At 45.6% G+C, this 24,230-nt stretch overlaps 3 annotated features.

Annotated features, from left to right (window-relative positions):
• Positions 8,780-9,281: an enhancer, noted in NCBI's record as "H3K27ac hESC enhancer chr2:90518809-90519310 (GRCh37/hg19 assembly coordinates)". NCBI's record gives its function as "activates a minimal SCP1, AML or CMV promoter by ChIP-STARR-seq in naive H9 embryonic stem cells {active_cell/tissue: H9 hESC(naive)}" and the evidence as "EXISTENCE:reporter gene assay evidence [ECO:0000049][PMID:30033119]".
• Positions 9,282-9,781: an enhancer, noted in NCBI's record as "H3K27ac hESC enhancer chr2:90519311-90519810 (GRCh37/hg19 assembly coordinates)". NCBI's record gives its function as "activates a minimal SCP1, AML or CMV promoter by ChIP-STARR-seq in naive and primed H9 embryonic stem cells {active_cell/tissue: H9 hESC(naive and primed)}" and the evidence as "EXISTENCE:reporter gene assay evidence [ECO:0000049][PMID:30033119]".
• Positions 17,884-18,395: an enhancer, noted in NCBI's record as "H3K4me1 hESC enhancer chr2:90527913-90528424 (GRCh37/hg19 assembly coordinates)". NCBI's record gives its function as "activates a minimal SCP1, AML or CMV promoter by ChIP-STARR-seq in naive H9 embryonic stem cells {active_cell/tissue: H9 hESC(naive)}" and the evidence as "EXISTENCE:reporter gene assay evidence [ECO:0000049][PMID:30033119]".

Below are 24,230 nucleotides of genomic sequence, written 5' to 3'. Positions count from 1 at the left end.
TAGAAGCTAAAATACCTAGGGATAATGATATGACTATCAAAAATTAAAAATTAAAGGACATTTTGAGTATTAAAAGAATGAGAACTTATTACCCAATGAACAGGGGTTAATTCATTATGCTCCATATCCATTGAATTAAAAGACAGGCCCATTACCTGGATAATTTGAAAGTTTAATTTTATTTAAAAGTCTTGTTTCATTCATCAAGGTAAAGGATTAGCTCCCAGAAATATTCTAGAATTGCATATCCCCAACTCTGTAGGAAGTATAGAAAGAATGTTATAAGGGCCACCATCTAAACATTATTATGTAAATAATTTAGTACCATTCCATTTGCCTTTGTAGATTTAAAACTGTAAATGGCTTTCTCATATTAGGAAACATCACTTTTCAAAACCCAGATAAACATAGTACATTGCAAGAGAATAATTATTTTCTTTATTAAAAAAGAAATACTGGATGCTAAGTCCAAAAGACATAAATTATTTTATACTAATAACTACTAATATTTTATTCATTAAAATATAAAGGTCAAAGATTTCAAAATGATCTTTAAATGATTAATAACATGTTGATCTTTTTCTTCTTTCTGTAAACCTTTTTGAGTCTTAAAAATACTAAACTATACAAGCAATATTAAATAGTATATAAACTTGGATTAAAATATTCAAATTTACTAGAATGTGGACATTGGAAAGAATGAAAATAAACAGAAGCATAAAGCAGCAGATATAAAATTAAGAAAGCAACTAAGAGTGTTTAAAGTACATATTCATCTGTAGTCTACCATAAACAATGACTCTTCTCAGTAAAACACAAATTGTTCATGAAGGGAAAAAGCATGTTGTATTAGAGAATATTCAACATAATTTTTTTAGTACTAACTTGTGCCTGGAGTATTATTGGTTTTTCTATTATGAACTTATGCACTTGTTAATTTTTTTCATAAAAATTATATGTACAACTCCATTCAAAAGCAGTTTTTGGTGGGTTTTTTTTTTTTTTTTTTGAGACAGAGTTTTGCTCTTTTCACCCAGGCTGGAGGGCAATGGTGCGAATTTGGCTCACAGCAACCTAGCAACTTTTGCCTCCCAGGTTCAGGTGATTCTCTTGCCTCAGCCTCTCGAGTGGTTAGGACTACAAGCACGCACCACCATGCCTGGCTAATTTTGTGTTTTTAGTAGAGACATGGTTTTGCCATGTTGACCAGGCTGGTCTTGAACTCCTGACCTGAGGTAATCCACCCATCTTGGCCTCCCAAAGTGCTGGGTATGGGCAAGAGCCACCATACCTGGCCTCAGAAGCAGTTTTTAAAAGCAAACACAATATAACACCAAAGTTGAAAAATCTATGCTCACCCAAGGATGCCAGGTTTAATAAATTATTTATAGAATACTGCATCAAAAATAAGACAATAACCCAAAATATACCATTAAAGATGTATCCACTCCTACAACTGGAGATAATTAATCTATCTAGTAGCAAATGATACTTCAATCAGTTTCAGCATGTCTGAAATCTTTAAGGACAAAAGTGATAAAACATGACTTCATTCTTCATTAGACTCTTAGAACACTTGAAGGAAAATAATTTCTGAAGCACAAAGAAGTAAAGAGGTGTAATCTTTCAAAAAGATATTCAGTGTTCAAAATCCAAGAGTGCAATATCAGGCTGGGTGCGGTGGCTTATGCCTGTAATCCCAGCACTTTGGGAGGCCATGGTGGGTGGATCACCTGAGGTCAGGAGTTCGAGACCAGCCTGGACAACAAGGTGAAACTCTTGACTGTACTAAAAATACAAAAATTAGCCAGGCATCGTGGTATGCACCTGTAGTCCTAGCTACTTGGGAGGCTGAGACAGGAGAATCGCTTGAACCTGGGAGGTGGAGGTTGCAGTGAACCGAGATCATGCCACCTCACTCCAGCATCAGTAACAGAATGAGATTCCATCTCAAAAAAAGAAAAGAGTGTAATATCGGTATACACAGATAATATACTGAATGAAACAAATAGAATAATTTGAAGAGGTGTCTTGATGAACAAGGAGTCATTAGAAAGGTTGTATTCATGTCTTTGAAGGAAATTGCAATGTGAGAAATTAATACTTTGACTACTATACTAAAAGTTTATTGCTAACATGTATTGAGTTATTAACGTGTGTTAGGCAGAGTACCATATAATTTACAAGTGTTATCTCATTTATTGTAGGTAAAATGTAATTTCGAACTCTGGGAGTATTAATGAATTAGATAGAATAAAATTCTATTTAAATGGCCATCAGTAAATCGGTATCTAGGAACAGGGTGATACGGTGCCCAAGTTTTCTATTCTTACTAAATGTTGTGTTTCATTTTCAATGTTTTCTTGGATATGCTCTTTTTTGGTGATTTTGATTTTTTTTATTTTAGAAAACTAATAAATTGACTCTTCTTGGTACTGACTCGGGTTTTATAGAAGAAAAAGTAATTAAATTATGTATATTTACCTTTACCTCATTTTTTCTCTTTTAAATTTACTTTAATTGACATATAATAAATGTACATGTTATGGGGTACAGAGTGATATTTTGATATATTTATGCAATACGTAAAGATCAAGTCAGAGTCATTATCATATCCATTACCTAAATCATGTATTATTTCTTTGCAGTGAGAATATTCAAAATCTTTTATTTTAGTTATTTGAAAACACACAATAAATTCCCGTTAACTACAGTCACCCAACAGTGCTGTAGAGAACTAGAACTTCTTCCTTCTCTCCAGCTGTAATTTTGTATGTATTAACCACATTTTTCTTATACTCTTCTTTCTCCTACTCTTTCCAGGATATGGTAACCAAAACTCTACTATCTACTTCTACGAGATTAAAAATTTTAGCTTCCATACATAAGTGAGAACACGTAGTTATGTGGTGTCTATGTTTCTATGCCAGGCTTATTTCACCTAACATAATGCCCTCCACTTGCATTCTTGTTGCCACAAATAACAGGATTTTGTTCTTTATTATGACTAAATAGTATTCCATTATATATGTATGTCACATTTCTTTATCCATTCATCTGTTGATGGACACTTTTGTTGATTCCATATCTTGGCTATTGTGAATAGTGCTGTAATAAACATGGGGGTGCAGGTAAGTCTTTGATATACTGGTTTTCTTTCCTTTGGATATATACTGAAAACCATATGATTAAATTAATAAACACAATAAAAGCGTTTGGCAAAATTAAATATTCTTACATGACAAAAAACCTCTCAACAATTTAGTATAGAAAATATATGCCTTAAAACAGAAGGACATAAAGGACAAATCTGCAACTAAGATCATACTGAGTGTGGAAAAGGTGAAAGATTTTACTGTGAACAAGAAAAAGATTTTACTGGAACAAGAAAAGGATGCCTATTCTCACCAATCATATTTCACATAGTGAAAGTCTTAGCCAGGACAATTAGGTGAGAGAAAGAAATAAAGGACATCTGAATTGGAAAGGAGACAGTCAAATTGTCCCTGTTTAAAGACAATGTGATCTTATACACGGAAAAAAATAAGACTCTACCAAAAGCTTCTTAGGGTGATACATGAAATTAATAAAGTTGCAGGATATAAATCAACATACAAAAATCAGTAGCATTTCTATATATTGATAATAAACTAGCTGAAACAAGAAATTAAGAAAGCAATTCCTTTTACAATAGCTACAAAAATGTACTTAGAAATAAATTTAACCAAGGAAGTAAAAGATTTCGACAACAAAAATGACAAATATTAATGAAAGAAATTAAAGAAAACACAAAAAAGGAAAGACATCCACGTTTATAGATTGAAATAACTAATATTCTTAAAATGACCCACTATCCTATGTGATTTACAAATTTGGTACAATCACTAGCTTGTATTTTTAAAAGCACCTTTGTTGCATATTCTTAAGATATTCAATGACAATGCCCGGATTTAAGTTTGAGGTATTATTATATCTATTTTATACTGGGCACAATATAATGTTATCAGAGGTAACGGTTTTGATTGGTCCTAGGTCATACAGTAATATATACATTGTGATTTATAGACATGCTATCTTTTAATACTCAGGCATTTAGAAAGTTCATTTAGAGAAAGTTATAAAAACTTGCCGTCCTTTCTGCCTATATCACCTAAAAATCCTAATTTAAGAGGTAATAACATTTTTTATTTGATATACAATTTATCAACACAATAAAAATCTAACAATTATCATGTGCAGAGTGTGAAAATCTCATCAGATTAAGGAACACAAAGACATCTTTTTCATATTTCGAATGTAAAACTGTTTTGGAAACTGTTATTTTTAGAAACAGTTAAAAACATTTTTTCATTAGTTTTTCATGTAAAATTGTGACAACCAGCATGAAATAACTGTCATCACAGAAGCATGGTATATTCGATTCCAAAACATATTCTTTGTAAGTTTTAATATATTTATGTATTATTTATACTTAGATTGTAACCCATAATGTACAGATATTATTTTTCCTTCAACTCTTAAGAATATTCTTAAATAATAAAATTAAAATTAATGAATTATAATTTTTGTTGCTTGGGAAAAAGAATAGACACACACGTGACAGTGCATCACTTCACCCCATCATTTCATCTCATCATTTCATCATTTCATCTCATCATTTTATCTCATTTCATCTCATCCCATCTCATCTCATCATTTCATATCATCTCATCATTTCATCTCATCATTTCACCAAATCTCATCTCATCTCATTTCCATTATTTCATTTCATCATTTCATTTCACTATTTCATTTCATTTCATCTAATTTCATTTATTTCATTATGTCATTTCATATAATCTCATTTCATTTCATCTCATATTTTTGATATCATTTTTCATATTTTTCATCTCATTTCATCTCAATTCATCTCATCATTTCATCTCCTCATCTCATCATTTCCTCCTTTCATTACAACATTTCATCTCATTTCTTCTCATCTCATTTCAGTTTCATTATTTCATCTCATTTCATTATTTCACCTAATTTCATTATTTCATCTCATCTCATCTCAGTTCATCTGATCTCATTTCATCTCAGCATTTCATCTCATCATTTTTCATCTCATCATTTAATCTCATTTCATTTCATTTGATCTCATCATTTCAGCTCATTTCATGTCACATCTATTCATTTAATCATTTCATTTCAACATTTCATCATTTCATCTCATCATTTCATCTCATCTTTCAATTTCATTTCAATATCATTTCATCATTTCTTTTCATTTCATCTCATTTCATTATTTCATTATTTCATTTCAATTCATCTCATCATTTCATCTCATCATTTTTCATCTCATCATTTTTCATCTCATCATCTCATCTCATCATTTCATCTCATTTCTTCTCATCATTTCATCTCATCATTTTATCTCATTTCATCTCATCTCATTTCATTATTTCATTTCATTTCACTTCATTTCATTTCATCTCATTATCTCATCTCATTTCATCTCATCATTTCTTCTCGTCTCATCTCATCATTTCATCATTTCATCTCGTTTCATCTCATTTCATCTCATCTCACCTCATATCATCATTTCATCTCATCCTTTCATTTCATCTCATTGTTTCATCTCATTTCATCTCATCTCACCTCAGCATTTCATCATTTCACCTCATCATTTCTTATTTCATCTCATTTTATCTCATTTCATCTCATATCTCAATTCAATTTCCTTTCATTATTTCATCTCATTCATTTCATCTCATTTCGTTACATCTCATCATTTCCTCTCATCATTACATCTCATCTCATCTCATCATTTCATCTCATCATTGCATCTCATCATTTCATCTCATTTCATCTCATCATTCATCTCGTCATTTCATCTCATCTCATCATTTCCATTTCATTATTTCATTTCATCATTTAATTTCATCATCTCATTTAATTTCACCTTATTTCATTATTTCATTTTTTCATTTCATTATGTCATTTCATTTCATCTCATTACATTTCGTCTAATTTCATTTCATCTCATTTCATCTCATCATTTCATTTCATCTCATCTTTTCATCTCATCATTTCGTCTTATCATCTCATCAACTCTTTTCATCTTATCATTTCATCATTTCATCTCATCACTTCATCATTTCATCTCATTACTTCATTTCATCTCATATCTTCTCATCTCATTTCAATTTCATTTCATTATTTCATTTCATTATTTCATGTCATCTCATCTCATCATTTCATCTCATCACATCTCATCATTTTATCATTTTATTTCATCATCTCATCATTTCATCTCATCTCATTTCAATTTATTTATTTCAATTTCATTTCATTATTTCATTTCATTTCATCTCATCAGTTCATCTCATCATTTCATCTCATCATCTCATCTCATCATTTCATCTCATCATTCATCTCATCATTTCATATCATCTTATCTCATCATTTCATCTCATTTCATCATTACATTTCATCTCATTTTATGTCATCATTTCATGTCATCATTTCATCACATCTCATCTCATCATTTCATCATTTCATCTCATTTCAACTCATTGCATCTCATCTCATTTCCATTTCATTATTCCATTTCATCATTTCATTTCATTATGTCATTTCATCTCATCATATTTCATCTCATTTCATCTCATCTCATTTCATTTCATCTCATCATTTCATCTCATTTTATCTCATCTCATTTCATCTCATCATTTCTTCTCATCTCATCATTTCCATTTCATTTTCATTTCATTATTTCATCATTTCATTATTTCATTTCATTATTTCATTTCATTTCATCTCATTACATTTCATCTCATTTCATCCATCATTTCATTTCATTTCATCATTTCATCTCATGATTTCATCTCATCTCATCATCTCATTTCATCTCATTATTTCATCTCATTTCATCTCATCTCATCATTTCATTTCATCATTACATCTCATCATTTCAACTCATCTCATTTCAATTTCATTTCAATTTCATTACATTTCATAATTTGCTTTCATTATTTCATTTCATTTCATCTCATTTCATTATTTCATTTCATTATTTCATCTCATTTTTCATCTCATCATTTTTCATCTCATTTCATCTCATCATGTCATCTCATCGTTCATCTCATTTCATCTCATTTTATCTCATTATTTCATCTCATCTCATCTCATTTCAATTTCATTATTTCATATCATTTCATTATTTCATTTCATTTCATCTCATCATTTCATCTCGTTTCATCTCATCATTTCATCATCTCATCATTTCATCTCATTTCATCTCATCTCCTTTCAATTTCTTTTCAACTTTGTCATTTTGTCTCATCATTTCATCTCATCATTTCTACTCACCATTTCATCTCAAAATTTCATCTCATCATCTCATCTTATCATTTTGTCATTTCATCTCATCATTTCATCTCATCTCAAGTCATCTTATCATTTCATCTAAGTGAAATGACATAATGGAATCATGAAATGAAATGGATAGGATGCCCTCAGTGATGTTAAATTTAAAAATTGTTTCTTTTCATGAATGCATTTTTATATTTATATGTATTTATATTTATATTTACTAATATTTCTTTTTACTTATTTTTATTTATATTTTTACTTATTTCTTTATTCATAGACAAGGTCCTGTTCTGTGGCCTAGGCTGGAATGCAGTGGTGCATTCACAGTTCACTGCAGCCTCGAGAAAATCTCCCACATTAGCCTCCCAGGTAGCTGGGACCCCAGGTGCGCACCACCACACCTGGTTAATATTTTATTGTTTGTAGAGATGGAGTCTTGCTATTCTGCCCAGGCTGGTCTCAAACTCCTGGGCTCAAGCAATCCTCCTGCATTGGCAACCCAAAATGCTGGGATGACAGATATGAGCCACAGTGCCCAACCTATTTATTTATTTATTTATTTATTTATTTATTTATTTAATAAGGACAAGATCTCACTATGTTGCCCAGGCTGGTCAACTCCTGGACTCAAATGATTCTCCAAACTTGGCCTCTCAAAATGTTGGGATTACAGGTATGAGCCACCATGCCTGGCCTAAAAATAGTATTATATTTTTGTATCATATAATTTTCAATTAGGTAATATGAATATTCTGTACAGGAAATACACCCTTAATTACATAGGAATAAACATTTGTTACACTGAGAAAAATCTAATAGAGCTAAAAATAAAAATTAATTTGGAAAGGTCATTAGATACTGATACATTCTTACGTTTATACATTCTTTCATATATTCATATATTCTTTTAACAGTATCAATGGTTTGGAGTTATGTGTACAAAACCATGACCTATATGTAATACAACTAATAACAGGCATTTACAATTCAAGGTATATTATATACAAAGCTTTAACTTCTTATCAAAATATTTTGTTTTATTTCTTTCTGTTTTGGCAGATACTATGAACACAACATTCAACTCACAGACACCATGGAGCCCTTACTAAGCATAAAGTACTGTGAAAGGCCAGGGCTAGGACAGAACTAAGACAGGGCCAGGGATAGGACAGAACAGGGGCAGGGTCATGGCCAGAGAAAAACCAGGGGCAGGGTCACGGCCAGGGACATGAGAGGACCAAGGCCAGGGCCAGAAGCAGGGCAGAACCAGGGCCAGGGCAGGGACATGGCAGGGCCAGGGCCATGGCAGGATCAGGGTCAGCAGAAGGCCAGGGCAGGGCTAGGGTAGCACAGGGCCAAGGCAGGGCAGGGTCAGTGTAGAGCAAGGAACGGGCCAGGGTATGGCAGGGCAGGGACAGGGAGGTCCAGGGCCAGAGTCAGGTCCAGGACATGGACAGGACAGGGCCAGAAATATGGCAGGACCAGAAAGGGGACAGGGCAAGGGCAAGGCCAGAGAAGGACCATGGAAAAAACACGGCCAGGGAGGGTCCAGGGCAAGGGCAAGGCCAGGGCAGAAGCAGAGCCAGAGCAGGCCAAAGGCAGGGCCAGGGCAGGGCAAGGCCAGTAGGGTGGGGCCAGTGTAGGGTGAGGGTAGGGCCAGGGTGAGTTCAGGGCCAGGGCAGGACTAAGATAGCACAGGGCCAAGGCAGGGCCAGGGCAGGGCCAAAAGGAGGGGCCAGGGCCAAGCATGGCCAGTGTCAGACCTGGGGATTGTCAGGGCCAGGGTCAGGGTCAAGGCTGGGCCAGGGACAGGGCCAGAGCAAGGGCAGGGCCAGGGAGAAAGCAGAACCAGAGAGGATCCAGAGCAAGGCCAGGGTCAGGGCAGAACCAGGACCAGGATAAGGCAAAGCCAAGGCCAGGGCAGGGCAAGGCCAGGGCAAGGCAAGACCAGGGAAGGGCAAGGCCAGGGTAGAAAAGGCCAGTGTAGGGCCAGGTCAGGGTAGGAGAAGGCCATGGTAGGGCCAAGGCCAAGGCAGGGCAGGGCTAGGGTAGCACAGGGCATGGCCAAAAACAGGGCAGGGCCATAACAGTGGCAGGACTAACAACAGGGCCAGGGCAAGTGCTGGACCAGAGCATGGTGGGGACAATACAGGGCCAGGACAGACGATGGCAAGGCAGGTCCAGGGCCATTTCATGGACTCGGTAGGCCTGGGGTCAGGCCAGGGCAGGGCAAAGGCAAGACCAGGGAGAAGGCAGGGCCGGGCCAAGGCAGTGCCAGGGCAGGGCAGGACCAGTGCAGGGCCAACGCAGGGTGAGGGCAAGGCCAGGGCATGGAAGGGCAGGGAAGGACCAAGGAAGGGCCAGGAGAGGGCCACGGCAGGGTCACGCCCAGAAGGAAGGGTATGGCTGGGGTCAGGAATATGGTAGGACGAGGGCTGGGCCCAGGCTGGGACATGCAGGGCAGAGCATGGACTGTGCAAGGCACGGCCAGAGCCAGGCCATAGAGATGGGAAGGCAACACCAAGGCAGAGTCAGGGTAGATCCAGGGCTGAGCAGAGTCAGGGCAGGTCCAGAGTAGAGGCAGAGCTAGGGCCCAAGCAGGGCCATGGTAGCACCAGGGCAGAGGAGGGCAGGGCAATGCAGGACTGGGCCATGGCAGTGCCTGGTCAACTCCTGGGCAAGGCCAGAAGCAGGACAGGGCCAGGGCCAGTGCTCAGGCCAGGGACAGGGCATGACAGGAAGTGCCAGAGCAGGGCTGGGCCAACGTTGGGGCAGGGCAAATCAGACCAGGACACTTCCAAGTCCAGCTCTGGCCCTGCCTTGGCCCTGGCCCCTTCCTGGCCTGACCTTGTCCCTGGCCCTGCCCTATCCATGCCCTGTGTGTTTGACCAGTGTTTTATAACCAGAATCCTACAAGAAACTTAAATTAGTTCTTTTTGTGCATTTTTAGTAGAGATGGGGTTTCACAATGTTGCCCAGGCTGGTTCCAAACTCCTGAGCTCAAGCCATCTGCCTGCCTTGGCCTCCCAAAGTGCTGGGATTACAGGAGTAATCTGGCCAAGTATTTAACTTCTTTATGCCTGTTTCCTACATTTGGAAAATGGGGATGCTTTAAGTACCTAGCACATAGAATTATTGTGAGAATCAATGCCTCACATATTAACATATTGATAAAATTATACTCATAGAACACTACTGGAAGCAAAGATAGTATTAGTTAAAATTTAGTGATTACTGCAAATATTATTACTATTACAAACAATATAGTATAGACATTACTACTACTATAGTTATCTTAAAAATCTAAAATAAAAATTTTACGTAATAGCCCATTGTAATCTCTCCTGCTCTGCCCTGGCTCAGCCCTAGTGCCGGCTCTGCCCCTAGTCCTACTACATCCCTGGCCCTGACCCTTCCCTGGTCCAGCCGCTGCCCTGGCCCTTCCCATCTTCAGGCCTTACCATGGCCCTACCCTGGTCCTGACCCTGCCCTGGTCTGGTCCTGACCCTGGCCCTACCCCAGAAAAGGGGTATGGCAGAGCCAGGGAAGGGCCAGGGCAAATAAGGGACAGGACACACCCAAATCCAGGAAAGGGCCAGGGCCATGACAGAGCCAGGGCGAGTCCTTGGCAGGGCCAGGTTCCAGGCCAGGGCCAGGAAAGGGTCATGGCAGGGTCACTGTATGGCCAAGGTCCAGGCCAAAGCCAAGGCAGTGGCAGGGTCAGGTCTGCATAAGGGCAGGACCAGAGCCAGTGATACGGCAGGGCCAGGGCCAGGGCCAGGGCTGTGCCAGGACAGAACAAGAGCAGAGCAGGGCAGGACCAGAGCCAGGCCATAGAGAGAGTAGGGCAAATGCCAAGGCAAGGCCAGGGTAGTGCCAGGGCTGAGGCAAGGTCAGGGAAGGTCCAGGGCTCAGTCAAGGCTAGAACCAAGACAGGGGCAGATCTAGGGCACAAGCAGAGCAGGCTAGGGCAGGGCAATGGCAAGACCAGGCCACGGCAGGGCCAGCCCAGGATAGAACAGGGCACAGGCAGGGCAGGGACAGGGCCACAGCTGGGGCAGGACAAGGACCAGGACTGGGGGCCAGGCCAGGGCAAGGGTATGGCCAGGGCAGAGGTAGGGCCAGAGCCAGGGTCTGGGCAGGACCAAGGCAGGTCTATTGCAGGGCCAGGGTTCAGACCAGGGCCAGAGCAGGGCTGGGACAGGGCCAGGGCCAGAACCAGGAAACGGCAATGTCAGGACAAGGGCCATGGCAGGACCAGCAATGGGGCTGGGGCCAGGACAGGGACAGGGACAGGGTCAGGGCTAGGGCCAGAATAGCATGCCAGGGTAGAGCCAGGCCAAATCAGGGACAGGACAGCATCAGGACCAGGGCTGGGCCAGGGTATGGCCTTAAGTAGCGAAGGGCCAGGGCCAGGGTCCATGCCAGTGCCAGCGCCGGTCCAGGGCAGAGGCAGGGCCATGGCCAGATCTAGGACAAGGCTGGGGCAGGGCCAAGGTCTGGGTCAGGGTCAGCAGAAGGCCAGGACAGAGCCAGGGGAGGGACAGGGCCATGGTAAGACCAGGTTACATCAGGGACAAGACACCTGCAAATCCACTTCAGGGCCAGGGTCAGGGCAGGGCCAGTTCAGGGCCAGGGCCAAGACAGGGCCAGGGTCAGGGCTGCCAGGGTCATTGGCAGGGCCAGGGCCATGGCAGGACCGGGGTCAGGAGCAGGGGTCAATGCCAGGCCAAGGCCACACATAGGACCAGGTCTGTGCTAGGGTCAGTGTGAGGGCCAAGGCAGGGTCAGGACAGGGCCAAAGGGAGGGCAGGGCCAGGGCAGGGTGGAGCAGGCCCAGGGTAGCACAGGGTTAAGGTAGGGCACGACCAACCAGGGGAGGTCTATGGTTGGGGCCGGGGCAGGGCCAGAGCCAGGGCACAGCCAAGACAGTGGCAGCTCCTGGGCAGGGCCAGGGTTAGGACCACGGACATGTCCAAAGCCAGTGTCAGGGCAAGAGCAAGGGCAGGGGCAGGGCCAGGTTCATCTAAGAACCAGGGACAAAGCCAGGCCCAGAGCTGGGCCAGGACAGGTACCTGGCAGGGCTAGGGTCTGAGACAGGGCCACGGCAGGACCAGGACCACAACCAGGTCTGTGCTATGGCCAGGTCCAACACAGTGCCCAGGTAAGGCTAGGGTGAAGGCCAAGGTAGGGCCAGGGCAGGGTCAAAGCCAGGCTAGGGCCAAGGCAGGGCCAGGGCCGGCGAGGCAGGGCCAGGAAAGCATACGGCCAGGGCAGGGCGGGGCCAGGACAGTGCCAAGACCTGGGCGGAGCCAGGGCCAGGGCCATGGCCACGGCCTGGGGAGGACCAGGTTCGGGGCAGGAGCAAAACAATGGCAAGGACAGTGCAAGTTCTTGGCACAGCCAGGGTCCAGGACAGTGTCAGGGCAGGGCCAAGGCAGGGTCTGGGCCATGGTGAGACCAGCAACAGGGCTGGGGCTAGGCCAGTGACAGGACCAGAGTCAGGGCAAGGGCCAGAGCAGTGCAAGGCCAGGGTAGGGCCAGGCATTTCAGGGTCAGGGCCAGGAGAGAACCAGGGCAAGGTCTCAAGCAGGGAAGGGCCAGGGCCAGGACAGGTCCAGGGCAGGGCCATGACAGGGCCAGGGGCTGCGTTAGGGCAAGGGCAGGGCCACAGCAAGGTAAGGGTCAGGGCCAAGGCCAGGGTAGGGACAGGGCAAGAAATATGGCATGACCAGGGGCAATGCCAAGGCCAAGGCTGGGCCAGGGCTGAGCCAGGACTGAGTCAGGGCAGGGCAGGGCAGGGCATGGTATGGCCAGTGCAGGACAGGACAAGAGCCGGTCCACAGAGAGAGCAGGGCTGATGCCAAGAAAGAGCCAGGCTAGTGCCGAGGCTGAGGCAGTGTCAGAGCATGTCCAGGGCAGGGCCGGGGCCAGGGCCAGAACCGAGCCAGGGCACAGCCAAGGCAGGGTAGGGAAGGGAAATAGCATGGCCGGGTCAGTACTGGGACAGGACAGAGCAGGGCAAGGAGATGGTAGCGGCAGGGCAGGGACAGGCCAATGCAGAGCCATGTTATGCCGGGGCCAGGACACCTCCAAGTCCACTTCAGGGCCAGGGCTATGGCAGGACAAAGACCACGGCCAGGATCAGGGCCAGGTCTGTGCTAGGGCCAGCTCCAGAGCAGGGTCTAGCGAAGACTAGGGTGAGGGCCAAGGTAAGGCCAGGGCAGGGTCAAAGGCAGAGTAGGGCCAGGGCAGGGTGATGACACATCCAGAGCGCAGCAGGGCAGGGTGATGGCAAGACCAGGGGCAGACCATTGCCAGCTCAGGGCCAGGGAAAGTCCAGTGCAGAGCCAGGAAAGGGTCTGGGTCTGGGTCAGGGCCAGGAACAAGGCAGAGCAGGGCCAGGGCCATGGCAGAGTCAGGGCAGGTCCTTGACAGGACCAGGTTCCAGGCCAGGGCCTGGATAAGGGCAGGGCCAGGGATATGGCAGGACCAGGGCTAGGGCCAGGGCCAGGCCATAGTGAGGGCAGGGCAAAAGCCAAGGGCAGGGTCAGGGCAGGTCCAGGGCAGGTCCAGGGAGCGGCCAGCACCAAGCGGGGCCAAGTCACAACCAGCGCAGGGTAAGGCAGGGCAATGGCACCACTGGGCCATGACAGGGCAAGGTCAGTGCCAGGAGAGGGCAGAACAGGCAGGCCCATGGTGGAGCCAGGGCAGGGATGGGCCAAAGCAGGGCCAGGACATGTCCAAGGCCAGGTCAGGGCCAGAACAGGAGCAGGACCATGACCATTGGCAGGGCCAGTGCCATGACACGACCAGGGTCAGGACAAGAGGCAGGGCCAGAGCCAGGGCCAGAGCCAAGGTCAGGCCAGTGCAGGTTCAGGGCAGGGCCAGTGCCAGGGCAAGACCAGGGCAGGGACAGGGTAGCACAGGGCCAAGACAGGGTCAGGATGGGACCAGAGCAGGACAGGGCCGAGAGTCCAAGTAACAGTAGGGCAGGTACAGGGCAAGGCAGGGCAGTACAGGGCCAGATCCACGGCAGGCGCAGGGCAAAGCCAGGCCCATTGCCAATGCACCAGCCCTCCCTACAAGGCTCCTACCACCTGGCCACTGCTGCAGCCCGTCCATCGCTCTAAGCCTGACCCCCAACCCTGGCTGCAGCCGCCTGCCCTCCTAGCGCAGCCGCTCTCCTACCGCTCTGGTGTACCGCAGTCTCTGTCACTGCCGCCCACCCGCAGTGAGGCGAGCCATGGTGTTGCAGGCTCTAGGTGTCTCCTCCTCCTGGCACAGAGCAGCTGGGCGGGCAAAGCCAGAAAAGCCTAGAGAAAGATGTGAGGGGTGGAAGGGTTAGAGCCTCAACTTGTCATGCCGGCCACTGGGTGGCAGGGGCCAGTTTCAGCAAAGGCACTCACACCCACCCTCCAAAGTCCAGCCTCTCCTTTTGGCCCAAGCTGGGCAGGAACTGGGGTCTGGGGTGGGTGCTGGAGACACCACAGCATCCAGCTCCCCACTCCACAGGAACCATTGGGCCCACTGGGCTGCACTCCTCAGGGAGCAGGAGAAGCAGAAAAATTCAGACCCAGCCAGCCCTCCACACCCAGGTGCCAATTCCTGTTCCGGACGCCTCCACGCACAGGGCCCTGTCCCCCGTGGTGTCCCCAGGGGTGCCTGGCAGCCTCTGAGGCACAGACCCACAGTACACAGGCCCAGGAACCACGGTGGGTGTGGGGGCTCTGCCATGCTCAGGATTCCCACGCAAATGCTGCGTGCCCTGCTGCACTCCAGTATGACCAAGAGTGGGTCGCCCTCTGGAGTGTGGAGTCAGGGAGAGGAGAACCACTCCTTCCTTGGATGCCAACTCTGTTGACCGACACCAGCAGTGCAGCCCCTGATAGCACCGAACTCGCCCCCGCTCCACGGCTAGTCCTGCCCTCAATAGCGCCCCCCACCTCCGTCCCCCAATGCCGCCAGTAGCGTATAACCGATAGTGCCCTAACCTGTCCTCCTCCATGGGCATTGCAGCCCCAGAGAGCACCCATAACCCACCCTCCCTGCCATGGGCAGTGCAGCCCTGTACAGTGCTACCAACCAGTACCCCTAATGCAGGCAATGACACCCTGGATAGCGCCCTCAACCCACCCCACACTGCGAAAGGTACAGCCCTGGATAGCCCCTGTCCTACCACTCTGGTCGTCCTGTAGTCTCTGTCACCACCACCACCAACCACAGTGAGGCAAGCCAGTGGGCCACAGGCTCTAGGACCCAGCAGCCAGGCATGGAGCAGCTCTCGCTGATGGCCAGCTCCTACCACTCTGACCACGCTGCTGTCTGTCTCCGTGGCCATCTTCTTTCACTACAAAGGAATAAAACTAGGTATCAATAAGAAAAGCAATTTTGGAAACAATACAATCACATGGAAGTTAAACACCACCCTCCTGAATAAATGACTAGTGGGTCAATGAAGATACTAAGACAGAAATTCAAAAATTTCATGAAACAAAGGGTAATGAAAACACAGTATACCAAAACTTGTTATGCAGAAAGCAGTACAAAGGCAGAGATTTACAGCTATAAGTGCCTACCATCCAAACAAAAGAAAACCTTCAAATAAACAATACATCTTAAAGAACTAGTAAAGAACAAACTAAACTGAAAATAAGAAAATAAATAAGATCATAGCACAAACAAAATTGAAATAAAAAACAGACAAGATTAAACGAAAAGTTGGTTTTCTGGAAAGCTAAACAAAATTGACAAACTTTTAACCAGGCTAAGAAAAGAGACAAGATTCAAATAAATAAAATCAACAGATTAAAAAAAGGAGACATTACAACTAATACTTCAGAAATTCAAAGGATCATAACTGGCTACTATATGCCAATAAATTGGAAAGCCTAGTAGAAATTGGCAAATTCCTAGATGCATACAACCTACTTTGGTTAAACAATGAAAACATCCAAGACCAGAACAGATTGGTAACAAGTAATGAGATTGAAGCCATCAGAAAAAGTCTCCCAGTAAAGAAAAGCCCAGGAACTGATGTCTTCACTGCTGATGGCTTCACACCAAACAATTTAAAGACCTAGTACGAATCCTGCTCAAACTATTTTGAAAAACAGGAGGGAATACTTCCAAACTTATTCTATGAGACCATTATTACTGTGATACCAAAATCAGACAAAAGCATCAAAGAAGGAAACTACAGGCCAGGATCTCTAATATGGATGCAAAAATCCTCAACAAAATACCAGTGAATCAAATTCAGTAATACATTAAAAAGATAATTCATCATGATCAAGTGGGATGTATCCCTGGGACCCAAGGGTCACTCAACATACAATGTGATACATCATATCAACCAAATAAACGACAAAAACAGTATCATCACGTCAACTGAAACCGAAAAAGCATTTGATGAAATTCAACATCCCTTCATGCTATAAATCCTCAAAGAAACGGGCACAGAAGAAACATACCGCAACATAATAAAAACTACAGGAAAGACACCCACAGCTAGAATCATATGGAATGGGGAAAAATGGAAAGCTTTTCCTCTAAGATCTGGAACATGATAAGGATGCCCCCTGTCACCACTGTTGTTTAACATAGTACCAGAAATCCTAGCTAAAGCCATCAGTGCAGCCCCTGATATGGCCCCCAACCCACCCTGCCCCCTACCACCAGCAGTGTCACCCCCCCAATAGCACACCCAACATACCCAAACTGCCCTGCCTCCCCACACCATGGGCATTACAGCACCCCATAGCGCCCTCAACCCGAAACTGCCACCCCCCCGACAGCCGCACAGTGCAGCCCCGGATAGCACACTTAGCCCACCTCACTGTTGCCAGCAATACAGTCTGGGATAGTGCCCCCAACCGGCTCCCCACCAAAGGCAGTGCAGCCCCGGTTTGGCCCCCAAACCACCCCCCCCCCCCGCCCGGTGCAGGCAGCACAGCCCCAGATAGCACACCCAACCGGCCACCCAAGACGGGCAGTGACGCCTGAGATAGGGCTCCCAACCCGTCCCAGGCCACCCACAGTGCAGCCTGGATAGCGCACTTACCCCGACGTCTTTCTACGCTCTGGCTGGCTGCAGTGTCCATCGCTGCCACCAACCACAAACAGGGCTGCAAACAGGAAGGATTTTATTCACCGTCCATGCGGCCCCGAGTTGTCCCAAAGCGAGGCAGTGCCCCCAAGGTCTGTGCAGAGCAGAACGCAGCTCCGCCCTCGCGGTGCCACCAGCCCGCCTGCCCGGGTCTCTGCTGAGGAGAACATTGCTCTGCCTTCGCTGTATCTCCGAAGTCTGTGCAGAGGAGAACTCAGCTCCGCCCTCGCAATGCTCTCCGGGTCTGTGCTGAGGAGAACGCAGCTCCGCCCTCGCAAAGGCACACAGCGCTGGCGCCGGCGTGGCGGAGAGGCGGCCAGCGGCGGAGAGGCGGCCAGCGGCGGAGAGGCGGCCAGCGGCGGCGCGGTGGAGAGGCGGACAGCGGCGGAGAGGCGGACAGCGGCAGCGCAGCGGAGAGACGGACAGCGGCGGAGAGGCAGACAGCGGCAGCGCGGCGGAGAGGCGGCCAGCGGCGGAGAGGCGGACAGTGGCGGAGAGGCGGACAGCGGCGGCGCGGCGGAGAGGCGGACAGCGGCGGAGAGGCGGACAGCGGCGGAGAGGCGGACAGCGGCAGCGCGGCGGAGAGACGGACAGCGGCGGAGAGGCAGACAGTGGCGGCGAGGCGCGCAGCGGCGGCGCAGGCGCGGAGAGGCGCTGGCGCCGGCTCTGGCTCGGAGAGGCGCAGGCCCAGGCTCCACTCCCCAGCTGTGAAAGGGTAAGAACCAAGGGTGGCTGAGACTCGGGGTTGTTCAGGGCCGGGTGGGCTCTGGACCCAGCAGGCCCGGCACCCAGGTCAGGGCTCCAGGGGAGGCCAGGTGGGCGAAGGCCAAGAAGGGGCTGGGGCTGGTCAGGAAGGGCTCCTGGTGACCAGAGCACTTTGCGTGAGCCAGCGTGGGAGGAAGGTGGGCTGGATGAGCCAGGGAGGCGCCGGGAGGGGCCTTGGCAGAGGCGACCCCCTCCGTCACCCCCAGGCCACTGAACCCTGGGTAGCGAGAACCGACAGGGGAGGCTGCAGACAGAGGAGTGGAGGCTCCCCGGCTTTTGGGGCTCTGAGTAGAAGCATCTAGGGGGTCCCTCAAGAGGCCCCCAGACGCTTCCCCATGGTGAGAAAAGAAGGCGCAGAGAGGGGCACGGCGCCGGCGCAGAGGGGCACACAGCGAGATTTGCTGTGAGTTCTTTTATTGCCCCAAGTGTACCTCATCTTGGTAGATTTCTATTGGCTTTAAAAATGTGTGTGTTTTGCTGTTGGGGAGTGGGGTATTATACGGATGTCAGATTTTGCTGGTTGACTGTTCAGATCTTTTGTAAATCCTTGCTCCTTTTCTGCCTAGTTTCACTCTGTCACTTACACTAGAGTGCGGTGGCACGAACATGACTCACTGCAGCCTTGACTTCCTAGGGTCAAGTACTTCCCCTGGCTTAACTTCCTGAGTAGCTGGTACTATAGGTGTGTGCCGCCACACCTGGCTAAATTTAAAATTTTTTGGAGAGATGAGGCCTTGCTATGTTGCCCAGGCTCGAACTCCTGGCCTCAAGCTATCCTTTGTTTTTGCCTCCCAGAGTTCTGGGATTACAGGCATGAGCCACTGTGCCCGGCCTCTGCCTAGTTTTAACAGTTGCTAAGAGGAGGATGTTGAAGTAGATGTCTTCTTGGTGGGTTAATCCTTTTGTCATTAAGCAGTTGTTATGGTCACTTCCTTTTCACCCCATTGGTGAAGGAGGGGTCCCTGCCCTAAAGTGTAGGAGATGGCTGAACACGACACCTGGCGTGGATGGATGAGATTGACAGCAGTGTTTTAGTCGCATATACCCACAGCTCAGAGGAGGACACTGCATGCCACACAGGGTCAGATGGGCACCGCACTCTGTAGCGGAGTGAGGGCTGCGGGCTGAGGAAGCAGGCGGGCTTGGTAGTAACAAGAGCACACAATGACCAATGGTTCCCAAGGGGGAATGCAATTGGCTTGTTTGAATAAATTCATGGGCTCGCAGACAGGTGAAGTGAAACTTCTTAGGCTGAGGTGCAACTGTTCTGGCTGATAAAAGAACTAGCCAGGTGGGGAGCCTTTCCTGTTGGGTGGCAGGGTAGGGGGTGTCTGGTAGAAACAGGAAAACCCACGGCTAGGCCTTTGGGGCCCTGTGAGGCTCAAAGATGTCAAGGCAGCATAGGAAATTTTAGATCTTAAAATTCAGCGAAGACCCTCTCCAGCTCTGGTACATTATTTTGCTTGAAGTCTACTTCATGAGATATTAATATATTCACTCCTGCTTCCTTAAAAAATTAATGATTTCACAGGATATCTTTCTCCATTCTTTTACTTTCAACCTACTTAGGTCCTTAAGTGAGTTTGAAGTTTCTTATGAACAGTATTTAGTTGGGCCATGTGTTTATTATAGGCTCTCCATCAATCTGTCTTTTGGTTTATTTAGACCATTTACATTTAAGGTGCTTATTGTTACATAATTGCTTATGTCTGATGTTTTTATTATTTGCTTTTTTGTTTCCTTTTTCTTTCCCTCCATCTTGATCTATTTCTGTATAATGTTGTTGCGTGTATCTCTTTGTATAGTCTTAAAGTGTTTGCTCTGGATGTTACAATATGTGTATTGTAATATAGTAGTCTACTGGTACCAGTATTTACCACTTCAAAGTGTGGAAACCTGCCTTGCATTTATGTCTCTTTACCTTTTCCACTTGTATAAATCACTGGCTTGAGTATTAGGTGGTGGTATAGTTTTTGTTTCAGTCGTCAAATGTGATTTTAAGAACTGTGGATTGTCTCGCGTATGTATCCACATTTCTCATCTTTCCTTTGTCCCTCCTCCCATAGTCCCATATTCATCCCTTCTGCATAAGAACTTTCTATAGCCATTTTTTTTATTTTGATTTTTTTGTTTTAATTTTTTGTATTGTGGAAATGACAGAACATATTTCCGTAGCCATTTTTTAGCATTTCTAAATTGACCAGTGACAAATTCCTATATTCTCTTCCTCTGAGAATGTCTTTATTTCTCTCTTCATTTCTGAAGGGTAGTTTCATGGGATATAGAATTTGCCTTTCATGTATTCAGAGGTTTTCAGTATTCGTATAATCAAACCTGATAGTTTTCCTTTTGGTTTTGAGGTTGTGTCTTGTTTGGGTGAGTCTCCTACCCCTTTGACTACAGAAATGCCCTTTCATTTTAAATATCCTCCTATTATGAAACACATTTCCACATTTTCTAAATTTTTAATTTTTAGCTGAGAAATAAATTAGTAATTATTTAAGTATTAATTACTTTTATCTTGTTATTAATTATTGGTTTTATTTATTTACATGTAGTTGGCTTACATTTAGTTTAGTTTAACTTAATTACTTTAAAGTAATGTATAAATATCTGCAGTTTGTACCTCATGTTCTCACTCATAAGTGGGAGCTGAACAATGAGAACACGTAGACACAGGGAGGGGAACATCACACACCAGGTTCTATCCAGGGGTTGGGGGCAAGGGAAAGGAGAGCATTATGACAAATACCTAATGCATGCAGGGCTTAAAACCTAGATGACAAATTGATAGGTGCAGCAAACCACCATGGCACATGTATACCTATGTAATAAACCTACATGTTCTGCACATGTATCCCAGAACTTAAAGTAAAATTTAAAAAAAAAATAATTAATTAAAAATATATATCTTCAGTTTGTAAACGTCCCGACAACGCAGGAACAGAGTTAAAAGAGTGTGTGTCGTCCTTAGCTGCTCCCACCCCATCGTCTCCTCCCTAGCCAACCCAGCCGCCAGTCTGGCGTGCGCCTTCAAGGTTTCTTCCTAGACACTGGCAAACATAGATCACTATTTTCTGCCACATGGTATCTTTTAAACACACACGATTGTTTTGTGCAGAAACTTTCTATTTTTACCTCTCATAAGTGTCCTGTGGATTCTTTCCATGTCACTGTGGTGTGTGTGCGTGTGTGAGATTCAAGTTCAGCTTGCTAATCTTGTAGAAAGAATTACACTCCACTTCCCCTGTGCTCTGGCCCTCCCTAACACAGCAGCCCATCCCTGGAGGCTGATGGAGCCCCTTGAGCACCTGCTTACCATTTCTGTTTGTTCTGTTTATTCAGGTTTTCTGCCTCCTGCTAAGCCAATTTATACATTCCAAGAAAATCTTCCATTTCATCCAGGTGAAACAGAACCTACTGGAATGAAGCTGGCCTCCCATGGAATGAAGCTGGCCTCCCGTCTCCTTGATTTGAAGCAGCTTCTCCACGTTGGTTATTATGCCATTTTTCTAAATCTAACATTTTAAAATTTGTGCCTTTTCTTTCTCTTTTGCTTGACTTCTCAGAGGTTTTTTTAACGGTCTTTTCAAAGAAGTGGTTTTCGGTTTTATTTATCAAGTCTACTTTTATTATGGCTGTTTTAAAATTAAATACATTTATTTCTTGTTTCTCTTAAAAAAGCTTCTTGTATGTTTACTTAGTTTATATAATTTTATATGTCTTCTGTTGAAGCATATTAACAAACACTTCCAGCTATAACATTTCCCCTGAGAACTGCTTTGGACACATCCAGATATTTTGATAGGTCACACACTTATTGTAGTTTGTTTCTGAAAAGTTTTTCATTTTAGTTTTTATTTTCTCTTTTACTCAAATTATCATCAGCTTTCTCCTTTTATCCTGTTTCTGACAAATTAATCTGAGGATATAAATCTCTCCCTAAATGTCAATTTTGTTGAGTTTCATAATTTTAATATGTAATACCCTATTGCTATTGAGTTCCAGGCATTTCATAATTTTCATTGTGAAAACTAACTTTGTTTCCAAAACACACTTTTTCTTCTTTTTTGAGACAGAGTTTCACTCTGTCGCTCAGGCTGGAGTGCAGTAGCACAATCTCATCTCACTGCAACCTCTGCCTCCTAAGTTTAGGTGATTTTGTTGCCTCAGCCTCCCTAGTAGCTGGGTTTACAGGCTCTTGCCACTATGCCTGGCTAATTTTTTGTATTTTTAGTAGAGACAGGGTTTCGTCATGTTGCCCAGGCTGGTCTCGATCTCCTGACCTGGGGTGATCCACCCGCTTCAGCCTCTCAAAGTGCTGCGATTACAGGCATGAGCCACCGTGCCCGGCCCCAAAATGCACTTTTAACATGGTCTTTGTTATTGCATGTTTCTAATTTTGTTGCACCCTGGTGAGAGAATGTGATTTGTGTAACAGCAATTCTTGGGAAAGGGGCTGAGGCTTCCTGCTCCTTTAGCACAGCTAAATTTTCCCAAACGCCATCCATGAGCTTGGAAAGAGCATTGTACTCTGTTGGGATGGGCTCAAATCTCTCTGTAAAAATGAGTGTTCTTCTGTTGTTGTTGTTCTGTTTTTTGTTTGTTTTGTTTTGTTTGTTTTTTGTCTCAGTCGTTTTGTTTGCTCAGATCTTTTGATGATCCGGATAATCTTTTAATTTATGCAGGATGTTTCTCTGCTTGTGCAGGCTGGTGGGATTGGGGACTGGAGAGAGGATAAGTGTCTGCTTGCCCAGGACTGGCAAACTGTCACTTGCCCTGGTTGTGCCTTGCCAGGAGCTCCCGTGCCTGTCTCTGAGAGTGTCATGAGCGCAGCGGTGGTAGTTGTGTGGTGGATGCATTTCCCCTAGGTTGGGGGGTGGGTGGCTGGTCCTAGCTCTGTTTGTTGTTGCCGATGAGACACAGCACACTTCTGCTTCCTGATGGATCTTGTCAGTCATTTGACTTCTTCCTGGTCTGGGCTCCTGAGCTGGCCCTCTGCAGGCCAAGCAGGAATGGAGCTGGCTGCTACAAGAGTTCCTTCACTAGAGGGCATCTCTCCTCTCTCCTCCCACACATGGGAACACAAGGGTGGGCTTTCCTCCACCCACTGTGATCCGCAGCCCGGCTTTCCCCTCCTCACCCTCTGCTCTCAGACAGACTTGCTTTTCCCTGGTGTCTGTGAGAGGTGATTCTTCATGGTGCCAAGAATGTGGATTTTTTTGAGAGCAGGCACTCTCACAGATATTTGCACACCCATGTTCAAAGCAGCGTGATTCACAAGAGTCAAAAGGTAGAAGCATTCTGAGGGTCTATGGGTGAGTGGATGGGCAAGCGAAATGTGGTTATGCATACAGTAGACTGTTACTGAATCTTTACCAGGAAGGAGATTCTTTTTTTTCTTTCTTTTTGTGGAAAATGCGGTCTCGCTATATTGCCCAGGCAGGTCTCGAACTCCTGGGTTCAAGCTATCTTCCTACCTCTGCCTCCCTAACAGCTAGGATAATAGGCGTGAGCCTATGATATTACCCAGCCAGGAGGGAAATTCTGAGAGGTGTGCCAACAGGCATGAACCTTGAGGACATTGTGCTAGATGGAATAAGCCAGCCACAAAAGGACAAATACATTGCGATTTCACTTACATGAGGGGCCCATTATGGGCAAATTCAAATACAGAAAGAGCAATGGTTAACAAAAGGAGGAAGTTGGTGTTCAATGGGTATGGTTTCCTTTTGCGAAGATGAAGAAGTTCTGGAGATGGACGGTGGTAGGGGATATGCGACAATGTGAGTGCACTTAATGCCAGTTATAACACGGGGAGTGCGTGTGCACACGGCTCTGGGAGTTCTCGTGCAGCACTCAGAGCTCAGCGTGGGCGAGGGCGTCACCCCTCTGGGGGCGTCCATGGGGCCTTGGAGAAGGGAGGCTCCGGGGCACCAGAGCAGTCTACCGGGAGAGGCCGGGCCGAGCGCTTGTTCACCCCCAGCCCTCTTAGGGAACTTTC

This window comes from Homo sapiens, chromosome 2 (genome assembly GCF_000001405.40).
Source record: "Homo sapiens chromosome 2, GRCh38.p14 Primary Assembly".
Lineage (NCBI taxonomy): Eukaryota > Metazoa > Chordata > Mammalia > Primates > Hominidae > Homo > Homo sapiens.
This window is presented reverse-complemented; position numbering and strand designations above follow the sequence as displayed.